General features: G+C 36.8%; 1 protein-coding gene across 5 annotated transcripts in view; it reads left to right on the top strand.

The window, feature by feature from the left end:
- Positions 1 to 13,333, top strand: part of GKAP1 (G kinase anchoring protein 1) — a 78,345-nt gene that overhangs the window by 22,143 nt on the left and 42,869 nt on the right. For 4 of the 5 annotated variants that reach the window (NM_001135953.2, NM_025211.4, XM_011519058.3 and 1 more), the window contains 2 exons: positions 6,949 to 7,026; positions 10,789 to 10,912. In NM_001135953.2, the coding sequence (NP_001129425.1) occupies positions 6,949 to 7,026; positions 10,789 to 10,912 (202 nt within the window). Of the gene's footprint in view, positions 1 to 2,594; positions 2,677 to 6,948; positions 7,027 to 10,788; positions 10,913 to 13,333 lie in introns of those variants that run through there. The other variant, XM_017015171.2, reaches the window with a different exon arrangement.

Raw genomic sequence — 13,333 nt, 5'->3', positions numbered from 1 at the left:
GAGCGAGACCCTATCTCAAAAAAAAAAAAAAAAAAAAAGACACTCTCAGACATAACCATAACTGAGAGAGTATACCACCATTATCCTTTCTGCAAATTTTTCTGAGATGTGCTCCTGTCAATTAAAAAGAAAATCTAAATAAAGAGCACAAACAATAAAAAAAACACTAGTGGTGAGTATTTAAGCTAGTTCAATAAAGAATTAACTCTAAGTAGCAGCTAACTTGTATCTATCCCAGCACACTTCATTGTGGAAAAGTGGTCTTATATTCCCTACTCATTTATTTGCTTAGATGTATATATCAAAAGATGTGTATGTTTCTTAATTGAAATGAGTGTCATGTGATACATGATGTATAAAATGATATGTAAATTATATCCCAGTAAAGCTGTTTTTAAAAAAATACGTAGGGCATGGCTTTGACTTGGTTGTATGCATAATTTTCACTTTTTTTTTTTTTTTTTTTTTTTGAGATGGAGTCTCGCTCTTGTCGCCCAGACTGGAGTGCAGTGGCACAATCTCGGCTCACTGTGACCTCCGCCTCCCGGATTCAAGCGATTCTCCTACCTCAGCCTCCTGAGTAGCTGGGATTACAGGCATGTGCCACCACGCCCGGCTAGTTTTTTGTATTGTTTTTTAGTGGAGGTGGGATTTTACAGGCCAGGCTGGTCTCGAACTCCTGACCTCAGATGATCCTCCCCTCCCCACCTCCACCTACCAAAGTGCTGGGATTACAGGCGCGAGCCACCACACCCAGCCACTGTTTTTTAAAACGATTAAATCAAGATCAAGAAACATATTGTTCACCAACAGCTGTTGCCTAGGAATAAATCTCTGTGTAGATGTTTTTCAGGTATAATCTGCTTTATGCATGATGCACTGATACTATTGATTCCAGTGTACCTTTTTTTAAAAGTCATGACTCAAAAAATAAGTAGAAAAATCTCTTCTTAAGGGTTTCAGTGATTAACAGACCAAATTTTATTGTGTATTTCTTCTGTTACTGTATTGATTCAAACTCTACACGTCACTGGTATTTTTCTCACTCTGAAGTGACATGTCTGTTAGTATGTGCACAATAGCAAGTTCTCTCTTACGTGACATCCTTCAGTTCATTTGATAAAGGTTTTTTTCCAATAGCTTGTTCTGGTTTTGTTTGTTTGTGAGTGTAATATTTATCATTAACTGTGTGGCTGGTATAATAAATCCCTTGGCAGTAGTTTGACTACCTGGTTTCCTTATAAGGAGTGTAAATTCAAATAAATCCATTGTATTTTTGGCTCTTTAGCAACAAAATTAATCACTTTTATGCTGGAAAGCATTACTTAGTAGTTGTTCTGGAAAGACTCCTACAGGTCCCTTGGCTTTGTTTGAAAGTGAAACAAAAACTGTGATATCTTCAGGCCACTGGTCTCACCAAGTTTCTTTCTCTCTCTTTTTTAATTTTCATATATTTTTTGAGATGGGGTCTTACTCCCATCGCCCAAGCTGGAATGCAGTGGTGTGATCATGGCTAACTGCAGCCTTGACTCCCAGGCTCAGATGATTCTCCCGCCTCAGCCTCCCAAGTAGCTGGGACTACAGGCACACTCCACCATGGCTGGCTAATTTTTTGTATTTTTAGTAGAGATGGGGTTTTGCCATGTTGCCCAGGCTGGTCTTGAACTCCTGGTCTCAAGCAGTCCACATACCTCAGCTTCCCAAAGTGCTGGGATTGTAGGCATGAGCCACCACACCCAGTCTTCTGACCAGATTTCATGACAGGTAGCTAGGAGCAAATAGATGGATGACTCAAATGAAAATTTTAAATATTCATTATCTTAATTTTCTGTTTATAACTTTCCTTTTCTGCTCCTTTTGTGACATCACTCTCATCCTAACACATACACGTTTATATTCTATATTCACTGTATTGGAGTCCTGTTAATTTCAAAATTTATTGTGTTTTTATAAGTTGCATTATTTACGGTTCTATTTTCATTACTACTTTTAATTCTTTTGTGACTCATGAACCATTTTTATTGCTTGGAGGTGTGATAAAGCATACAACAAAAATACAGACTTAGTAAATGCAAACAGCACTCAGAAGACATAAAAATACATTAGCTGAGATGAACTGAATGTGGTAATGAATGTGAATTATATATGTCATTTTTGTAGAACTCTGACAACCTTTAGAATAATTATGTTCAATAAGACTACTGTAAGATTTCTGGGAAAATAATCTTGCCTTCCAAATTACTGAAAGATATGTAGTCTACACTTTGAAAATCTAATGGGTTAGGGGACCACTATGCACCACTGCTATTAAGTCCAATCAGTTGGCTGCAAGTGTTAGATGTCTTCAGAATGGTGATCTCTTTTGTTTTATAGTAACTATATTTCCATGTTGCCTATGAGAATTGAAGACTAACTCTTCATTTGGAATTTATTTTGTTTGGATTTAAATGAGTAAAATTGTAATGGTACTTAGACTTACAAATTAATTTTTAAAAAATGTTAGTACCAAAATATTTACTGTCCTTTAGGTTTTTCATTGGTTCTTCATACTCTTTAACTGATTGAGCTATAGGTTTGCTTAAATAGAAGAAAAAATGTTTTACTACTAGATGGGGAGTAGGAGGCAATGAGGAAGTCAAGAGGAAGGGGATCTGAAGTACTCCATCTTGGACACATGTAAGTATCTTCTTGAATTCTGTAGGCATTTTAGTGCCTGCTATTTCCTCTTTTTCTTCCTTTCCTCCTACTCCCATAAATAAAAAGAAAATAATAAGGAACTTCCCATTCGCAAACTTAAACAAGGTACTTTTTTAAAAGTATGCTTTTATTTGCATTTTATTGCCTGGAGCCTGTCTTATAGGCCCAGTCTCTGTCTCTGTCTCCCTCTCTCTTTTACCTATACATTTACTGATTAAGTAGATTGTCAGCTATAGTTATAGCAGTCTTTGATAGAGAATAAAGATATGTTTAGAGAATTTTGAATCACATTTTCTTTCTCTTTTCTGATATGTGTTAGTCTTGTGCTACCATTCTCCCTGTTATCTAAGGTCAAAAACCTTATCTTTGATTCTTTCACACTTCATATTGTCAGTGTTCCAAAACTTGATCAGTCTCTTCTTTATTTTCTGCGCTGCTACATTTTGGTCCAGGTGCCCATATGCTGTCTGAGATTACAATGGCTTAGTCAGACACATTGATTCTAGGTTCTCATTCTTCTAATATTCCAGTTTATATCTTAAAAATTACTTTTATTTAATATTAGCATTCCTCTTTTTTCTGCCCTATAGCCTTAAATTTTAGGAAGTGTCTGGAACCTTATGCTGCCCTAACTAAGCAATCTTATTTTCTACTATTCTCCAACATGGGAGAGTAATTCTAATTCATTTGGTACTGCTCTTATGCCAGGAACTGTGCTAGGTACTTCATACATATTACAACTTTAAGTCCTTAAAACTACCTTGTACAGTTGATATTCCAATGTCCTTTTTAAATGTTCTGAGATTCACAGGAGTTAATATAACTTGTTCAAAGTCACAGCTAGCATGGGTGGAATAGGAATTTAAATTATCAATTTCTGTGATCTCCCAAAGCCTGTGTTTTTTCCACATCTTTCTCTTGTAATGTTTAAAATTCACTTTTTGTCAGAATGACTTTCCTTAGTATCCCATAGTATATCTATTCTTAATATTATAACATTAACATAATGTGGCTCTTCCTGCAGTTCTATTTCTGCCTATCCAAATTGTATCTATATTTAAATACCAACTTAAAAGGATTTTTTTTCTGTATTCCTGAATCACATTTGTTGTTGATCTTCTTTTTCTCAACTTTTGTAGCTCTTTTAATGTCTTATTCTATTTCCTGTAGTTCATACACGTTAATCTTACATCCTCAACTGGGTAGGAATTCTTCAAGGGCAAAAGCCAAATTTATGCTGCTGCTTTAAATTAAGCCCCATAGGCAGGGAGGGCACAGCCCCTAGAAGACTCTAAATGAATCCTTAATGGCTGATTGGTCATACAATGAAATTTTTGGAAGATTTGTTCTAGTTTTCAAAAATTTAAATTTAAATCATTTTTGTCTACCTGCATTTTCTTGTATACTAGTTTGTGTTAACAATTAAAAGGTAGATTTAAAGTCTGAGCTACAATTAGAATCAGTTGCTGGGAGGGCCATATGTTTTTACTTTAAAATTTCTATTTCTATTTTCCTTTTTTTTTTTTTGAGACGGAGTCTCGCTCTGTCGCCCAGGCTAGGGTGCAGTGGCGTGATGTCGGCTCACTGCAAGCTCCGCCTCCTGGGTTCACACCATTCTCGTGCCTCAGCCTCCCGAGTAGCTGGGACTACAGGCACCCGCCACCACGTCCGGCTAATTTTTTTGTATTTTTAGTAGAGACGGGGTTTCACCGTGTTAGCCAGGATGGTCTTGATCTCCTGACCTTGTGATCTGCCTGTCTCGGCCTCCCAAAGTGCTGGGATTACAGGCATGAGCCACCACGCCTGGCCTAAAATTTCTATTTCATTCAGTTTTTATCATGCGATTAGAATGAACTGCCTTAACATTTAAATTCTGTAAGTTAATATGAAAAATAAAAATGACATCTAACAAGACTTCCAACTTCCTAACCTGTTCTGCCCACTAACTTATTTCTGGAATATCATCAGACTATGTGACATATTAGAAATAATCTCAAATGCCCTTTCTATAATTAAATGTCATCAATAGGGATTAAAATTTTAGTGGCAAATTGAAAAGCTTTGTTCAGAATAAACAAGTAGTTTTGTTACTTTTTCTTTTTTTCTTTTTCTTTTTTTGAGACGGAGTCCCACTCTGTCATCTAGTCTGGAGTGCAGTGGTGCAATCTCAGCTCACTGCAACCTCCGCCTCTGGGTTTAAGCGATACTCCTGCCTCAGCCTCCCGAGTAGCTGGAATTACAGGCATGCACCACCATGCCAGGCTGTTTTTTTGTTTGTTTGTTTTTTTGTTTTGTTTTGTTTTGTTTTTTGTATTTTTAGTATTTCACCATGTTGGCCAGGCTGGTCTCAAACTCCTGACCTCAGGTGATCCGCCCACCTCGTCCTCCTAAAGTGCTGGGATTATAGGCGTGAGCCACTGTGCCGGCCTAGTTTTGTTAATTTTTCTGTTAGGATGATTACTGTCCTTTAAGTTTAGTGAAACATTTTATTATCAGTTTGCCATGAGGTTAGGTGGAGAAATTGATGGAAATTTCCTTTTACCTTATAACCATTGAATACCCATGTACATAAGTGTATATAGTAAGACTAAAAGATTAATTTATTACTTTTTCTTGCTAATTACTAGTTCAGAGTAATTCTTCAATTCTTTTCAGTTATTCCATAAAGTATGTATAATTTACACTGGGCTTAATCTGATTTTCTAGTTCTATATATCCTTACCATTTTAATTCTAATTGTATTTTTCTGCATTCGATTGTTTTTCTGTGTAAGCTTAATCTTTTTTTCCTCTCTTTTTATTGTATCAGCATAGGATTAGATGCTTTCAAAGGGATGACTTTGCTTAGAAATGTTTAGTTCATAGTGTCTATTAAGATTTTTCTAGTTTTTAAGGTTTCTCCTTGAAACAGATCACTTCTTTTTGGAGTTGGTTTCTATTTTAGTTTAGATTTTTAAAAATCATTAAGTAATAGAAACAATTATGATTAACTTAGCCAAAAACCTTTTTTGAAGGATACTGAGTGATTCACAGATTTGAATTAAAAACTAAATAATTAGGTCTTGAAAAAGCTGGAAACCAAGGAATTTGGGAGTGCTCAGAGGCATGAGCTAGTAGATGTCATTTTTCGAGGGTTATCATCAGATAATTAAACCCACCTGCTTTTCCTTTGTTCTCAAAATTTAATTCCTGGGAGGAAAAAAAAGGAATTGGATCACTTGCCCCCACCTTTTGTCATTGGTGATGATAGCTTGGGTGTTTGTGTGGTATGGTAGTGCTTAGTGTACAGAATTATGCGACTGGCTGTTCTGCTGAAACCATGGGACTTTGGAATGAAGTGCACTTATTTAAAGGAATCGAGGAAGGGATTCTGGACAGATAAAAACAAGAGATGCCCACTAAATTTATGCTTTTGTTATCCTGTACACATAGACACATACATGTACACAAATCCAGGATGTTTACCCATGTCATGTTGCAGCTATCTTATATACAGCTGCAAACCCACTCACCTTATGCCCAGTAGTGGACAACTCAAAGTCGCATCCAACTACTGCAACATTCTGTTTGGCAATTAGGAAAAGTAAGTCTTGTAGAGATTAATTGGATTGGAGGGTGGTGAAAACTGGATTTTAAAAAGTTAGGTGAGATTGATTAGTGAAAAAGAGAAACAAATATATATCACAAAGAATCATTATTAGATGACTTAAAGCAACCATATAGTTTATCATTTTGAGAGTAAAAAGATGCACTATGAACAATTATTCTGTAACACCTGGCATATGCCAGGACATTTGGCAAACTTATTTTGTACCTGTGGTTTTTTCTATATTCATGAAATGGCATATTGTGTTTAATAATGCTTATTGAGTTATTTTTTAGTATTCTTATATTTTTGAGTAATAATCACTCATAATTTTTAGTGTCCTAAACTGAATGTTGCCTTTGACATCTATTATAGTGCCAATTATTTGGTAAGATTTTTTTATTAAGGTAAAAAGTAAGATTATATCATATATAATAGATAACAATGAAGAGGAGAAATGGAAATCTCAAAATTGGAAGTTTGTATTTTGATGTCTTCTATAGAATATAGGCTTCCTAGTTTGGCATGGTTAGATAACTTTGGAGAATCCATATTGTTTTTTAACATATTTGCTTTCTTTTCCTCTGTATATAGTAATATGTATGGTTATTTTGCTCATGTGATGTAATGATACTGTCTGTTTATTGTGAAACTTTTTTTTTGTAGCTGACATCTGAAATGTTTGAAGCAGATCTTGAGAAGGCATTGTTACTAAGTAAACTAGAATATGAAGAGCACAAAAAGGTATTTACATACTTACTGATTTAGATATTTTAGAAGTTTAAGTGGTGAGAGGTTAAAATCAACCTACTTGAATTTTACATAAAATTTTTCTGTAAAAGTTTGTCCAAAAATTCATTACCATAATAAAATATTACCAAGAAGTGTTTATAATAGGATTCCTTCTCAAGTTTTGAGATAGAACAGAAACAGTTGGAATTAAGCTTTGTCCGGTGACTTGGAATGTTAAGGAATTTCCCCACCCAAGATGAAGGGAAGAGAGAGAATAAAATTCACAACAGATGATTTTAATTTAATTTTATTTATTTTTATTATTATTTTTTCTTGGGACCGAGTCTCACTCTCTTGCCCAGGCTGGAGTGCAGTGGCATGATCTCACCTCACTGCAACCTCCGCCTCCCAGGTTCAAGCGATTCTCACGCCTCAGCCTCCTGAGTAGCTGGGACTACAGGCGTGAGCCACCACACCCAGCTACATTTTGTTTTTTTAGTAGAGATGGGATTTCGCCATGTTGGCCAGGCTGGTCTCAAACTCCTGAGCTCTGCTGATCCACCCACCTTGGCCTCCCAAAGTGCTGGGATTACAGGTGTGAGCCACTGTGCCCTGCCGATTATTTTAATTTTAAATGAACATAGAAAATAAGTGGATTTAAAATTTTAATATGGGCTATTACAGTACAGGGGCATTTATTGAGAGACCCTCTGCCAGAGTTGCACTACAAATCAAATAAAGTAGAAGGCCATTTCTGAAATTTTGGCCTTGAAAACTCAGCATTTGTCACTGAGCTTTGATATTAGGTTGTGTGTTGAAATGCATTCTATAGCTTGTTATTAAAGGAGGATTTAAGTAAAAAGAAGTGTTGGTTTCCAGTTTCCGTATTTAAATTGTGTGAGTATTCATTACGTTAATATCATTTAACATTTTATTCCGTAACATTTACTGGGATCCTTTTTTGGTTTATAACATTTGTTCAAGCTGTGATTACTCAGTGGTTGATCATAAATGGCCTCTGGTCACCCTGAAGACTTTTTGGCCATGTCCTTGTGCATTAGTGTCTTTATCCAAAATGAAAAGAAGTGAATAATTAAAATTCACAGCAGCTACTCAGGAGGCTGAGACAGGAGGATTGCTTGAGGCCAGGAGTTTGAGACTAGCTTGGGTTAACACAGCAAGACACTGTCTCTAAAAATTTTTTTTTAATTAGCTGGGCATGGTGGTGTGAGCCTGTATTCCCAGCTACTTGGGAGGCTGAGGTGGGAGAACCCCTTGAACCCAGCAGTTAGAGGATGCAGTGAGCTATGATCATCCCACTGCACTCCTCCTGCCTGGGCAAGAAAGGGAGATCCCATCTTAACAAAAAAATTCACAGCATTGATTTTGCTAGTTATTTATAGTTCAAGGGAAAAGGAAAAAAGTTGCTAATAAAGTGGGCTGTATATATTATATGTGTTTCATTTCCATATCCCTTTCTGTTACCTCAAATAACGAAGAATGAACTGTAACCATTATTGTTACATACCCATTTAGACACAAAGCAGGAAAATTAACAAAAATTGATACAGCTAGTTTTACTATGATTTAATCATTTAAATGGACTGTCAGGTTACACCGGAAAAGTAATCCTGTCTTGCTCAATTAGGAGATAAAATTTATCAAATAGAATATTATACAAAGGTGACTTCTTGCTGTTAGACTTATGGATATATGTCTAGATTCTAAAGCTAGAAGGATTACCTGTATCCTTAGAGGAGAAATAGAGTAAATAGTGTTGATAAAATGTCGTACTCCCAGCCAGTGTTCTTTGCACAGTCATAGGTGTAGTACTCAAAATCATTGATTTTAGCCGACAATAATGACTAAGAGAAGGGAGGAACTTCTTTTGTGTGCAATGGGTAGTTTGATGTGATGACATTGATGGGTAGTCATTGAGATAAAAGTCAATATTCAATAAAACAACTTTTAATACAATTGTTTTAGCCTAAGGATTTTTATAACAGATAACTAAAGTTTGGGATGGCATTTTCTTTTTCTTTTCTTTTCTTCTTTTTTCTTTTTTTTTTTTGAGACAGAGTTTCGCTGTTGTTGCCCAGGCTGTAGTGTAATGGCGCAATCTCGGTTCACCACAACCCCCGCCTCCCGGGTTCAAGTGATTCTCCTGCCTCAGCCTCCCGAGTAGCTGGGATTACAGGCATGTGCCACCACCCTGGCTAATTTTGTACTTTTAGTAGAGACGGGGTTTCTCCATGTTGGTCAGGCTAGTCTTGAACTCCCGACCTGAGGTGATCCGCCCGCCTCAGCCTCCCAAAGTGCTGGGATTACAGGCGTGAGCCACCGCGCCTGGCTGGGATAGCATTTTCTGTTCTATTCTGTCAGTTATTCACCAAATAATTATTGAATAGCCAAAGTGTGCCCCTTGAGTGTAGTGGAGGGAGACATAGTGTATAGTATTGAGAGATGTATGTTCTCAGTGCAGTGGAAATTCAGAATAATAGAAGGCTTTTCAGTGCCTTTGTTGGGGATGGGTTTTAGGAAAGGATTCTTTAAAGAGTCTTATTACATGTGTTAGAAGTTCATGAGGTAGACAAGAGGAAAGTAGGCATTCTGAAGGAAGGAGTGGCAAGTATATAAGATGTGTACATGTGAAAGAATATAGCATATTTGAAAAACTGTCATTTAAGGACCTAGAACTTCTGGAGATACAGCCAGAAGGATAGGACATAAATTTCTTCATGTACTAGGCAAGGAGATTGGGTTTTATACATCCATTGGCAGAAAGCTGTTTAATCATTTTAACTTTTAGATTGATTTTGGGTTTTCATTTTAGAAACTCATGTAGCAGCGTAGAAGATGGATTGAGGAGCTAAAATTGGAGACTGTTGCAGTATCCAAGCAAAAGGGAGATGGGGGAATGACAGAATGTACAAAGAACAGAGAATGAATTTAAGATATCTTCAGGAGATAAGTTAAACAAGACCTAGTAGTTAATTGGCTGTAAGGTGTGTAGGAGAGTAGGCAAGGATACTCTGAGGTTTCCAACTTAGACAGATGTGCACATGGTGGTGGCATAACAAGGTACTTCATAAAGGATCGAGTGGGGAAGGCAGGGTAGTGAGATGGAAAGATAGAATACATTTCGTGTGGAGATGCTTATTGAACATTCCAGTTCAGTTGTCTGTCTATACAGAAATAATTAGTTTATTGGTAGAACTTTAAACTTTGAGATTGAAGAGCAGTGGGTATAAAGCATTAAAAAAATAGGTTAAGAGTGGGATAATGTGAACAACCGCTACGCTTTTGAGAAGGTTGAGGAAAGAAGCCAGCAAAGGAAACTTAGCAGTAGTCAGAAATGTATTAAGAAAACCAAGAGATGCTTGAAAAAAATAATGTGTTTTGGATATGGCAATAAAGAGGAGATTGACCTTAACTTTAGTATCAGAGACCAGCAGAAGCCAGATTTCAGTGGGATGAGGCAGGAAATTGCTGATTATTGTCTTAAATTTGGTCTTGAAAGGTAGAAGGTAGCAATGAGGAGGGGGTTATAGGCCAAGGTATGACTTTTTTTGTTTTCATTTTAATGTTTAAGATGTAAGGGATTGAGTAAATGAATAAAGAGGTATCTCTTTATACAATTTGGCTAGCCTAAATTTTGGTTTTTTATTTGCCTTTTATCTTTAAAAAATAAACTTTAAGAAACATATTACCTGTTGGTGAGTTTATTTTACAGTTTGTAAACTGAACTTAATTGTTGTTGGTAATTCTTTTTAGGAGTATGAAGATGCTGAAAATACTTCAACTCAGTCCAAAGTTATGAATAAAAAAGATAAAAGAAAGAATCATCAGGGAAAAGACAGACCTCTCACAGTATCACTAAAAGATTTTCATTCGGAAGGTAATGTATATACAATGCTATTATGCTAAAAGAACTATTCTACATCTGTTTTATACTTCAGTTGTAAATGTCTTTCTAATTTTTAAACAATAAGTAAAAGTTATTCATGTATCATGTAGAATGTAAAAAATGTAAACCTTTGTCTTAGTTCGTTTTGTACTGCTGTAACAGAGTACCTGAGAATGGGTCATTTATAATGAATGGAAGTTTATTGGCTCACAGTTCTGGAAGCTGGGAAGTCCAATATCAAGATGCCAGCATCTGGTGAGGGCCTTCTTGACGAGTCATCACATGGCAAGAGTGAGAGCAAAAGGGGGCCAAATTTGCCCTTTTATAACCAATCCCACCTGTGAGGGTGGAGCTCTGATAGCCTAATTACCTGTTGAAGATCCTACCTCTTAATATTGTTACAATGGCAATTAAATTCTTCTTTTTTTTTTTCTTTTTTTAGATGGAGTCTCACTCTGTAGCCCAAGCTGGAGTGCAGTGGTGCAGTCATGGCTCACTGTAACCTCCGCCTCCACGACTCAAGCAATTCTTATGCCTCAGTCTCCCGAGTAGCTAGGACTACAGGCCTATGCCACCATGCCCAACTAGTCTTTTGTATTTTTTAGTAGAGACAGGGTTTCACCATCTTGCCCAGGGTGGTCTCAAATTCCTGAGCTCAGGAGATCTGCCTGCCTTGGCCTCCCAAACTGCTGGGATTACAGGCGTGAGCCACCACACCTGGTAGCGATTAAATTTCAACATGAGTTTTGGAAGGGACAAAACTGTTTGGAAATAAACTAAAACCATTTGGGGTTTTAAAGTAATTTAAAATCAGTCATTAAAACCCCATAAAACTTTAGTAAGAATTTATCTTTTTGTATTTTTGAGTTTGTCTCTTTCCTAAAACTTACTGAAAATAAAAACTGACATTTGTAGTTTGAGTCATCTTGAAACATATTTTTTTCCTTATACATAAACTGATTTGGCTTACAGTAGATCAGGAATAGTATTTTCATATTTCAGCCATTGTTGGTCAGCCTCTTCAAGTTATCTGGAACTGCATCTTAGAAAATTAAAATACAAATTTTAGAATGAGACTTATTACCAGAAAAGTGTTTATAGTATCATTTGTATTTTTTATCAAATGGAGAAGACAGAAGGAATTTTACTATCCACTAAACTTTTGAAGATAAACTGCAAAGCACATTATATTTAATGTGGGAAATGTTAAAAATACTTAGCCTGTGCTGTACAGTATGGTAGCTACTATTCATGTGTGGCAATTTAATAAAAATTAAAATGAAAATGTAGTTTCTTAATTGCATTAGCCGTATTTCAAGTGCTCAGTCACATATGACTAGTAGCTTCCATGTTAGTCCAGCTATACAACATTACTATCATCACAGAAAATTTTATTGAACAGCGCTGTGTCTATACCCGTCAGAATAGTTGCTCACCGTATGAACAGCTATTTGTTCATTGACAGAGCATTTTATTTGACTCATATGAATTCAGCCTTAGTACATTGGGCATTGTTCTGTGAGGATAAATATTACCATAGCAATAATTTCAAAAAGAAAAAAACCCAAATACTGCTTTCAGAAATAAGCCTTTCTTTGAAAATCAGAGAATATATTTAGAAGATTATATTGTTTTCCTTTGAGGATCAAGGAAGTTTTTCCCTGTAGGCTGCCAGTGATTAAGTTGCTTTGTTTTGGGGTTAAAAGAACAAATACATATTAAAATTTCCAAGTTTTGGTCGGGCGTGGTGGCTCACGCCTGTAATCCTAGCACTTTGCGGGGACAACGCAGGTAGATCCATTTCAGGTCAGGAGTTCGAGCCCAGCCTGGCCAACATGGTGAAACCCTGTCTCTACTAAAAATACAAAGAGTAGGTGGGCGTGTGGTGGCGTGTGCCTGTAATCCCAGCTACTCCAGAGGCTGAGGCAGGAGAATCTATTGAACCGGGGAGGTGGAGGTTGTAGTGAGCCAAGGTTGTGCCACTGGACTCCAGCCTGGGACAACAGAGTGAGACTTCATCTTTAAAAAAAAAAAAAAAAAAAAAAGGCTGGGCGCGTTGGCTCATCACGCCTGCAATTCCAGCACTTTGGGAGGCTGAGGCAGGTGGATCACCTAAGGTCAGGAGTTTGAGACCAGCCTGGCCAACATGGTGAAACCCCATCTCTACTAAATACAAAAAATTAGCTGGGCGTAGTGGTGCATTCCTGTAATCCCAGCTACTCAGGAGGCTGAGGCAGGAGAATTGCTTGAACCCAAAAGGTGGAGGTTGCAGTGAGCCAAGATTGCGCCATTGCACTCCAGCCTGGGCAACAAGAGCGAAACTCCATCTATCTCAAAAAAAAAAAAAAAATCCAAGATTAGTAAAAAAGATTTCACCTAAGAAATCTATTTTGGGCTGGATGCAGTGGACCA

This window comes from Homo sapiens, chromosome 9 (genome assembly GCF_000001405.40).
Source record: "Homo sapiens chromosome 9, GRCh38.p14 Primary Assembly".
Lineage (NCBI taxonomy): Eukaryota > Metazoa > Chordata > Mammalia > Primates > Hominidae > Homo > Homo sapiens.
Note: the sequence above shows the minus strand (reverse complement) of the source record. Positions and strands in the feature narration are given on the sequence as shown.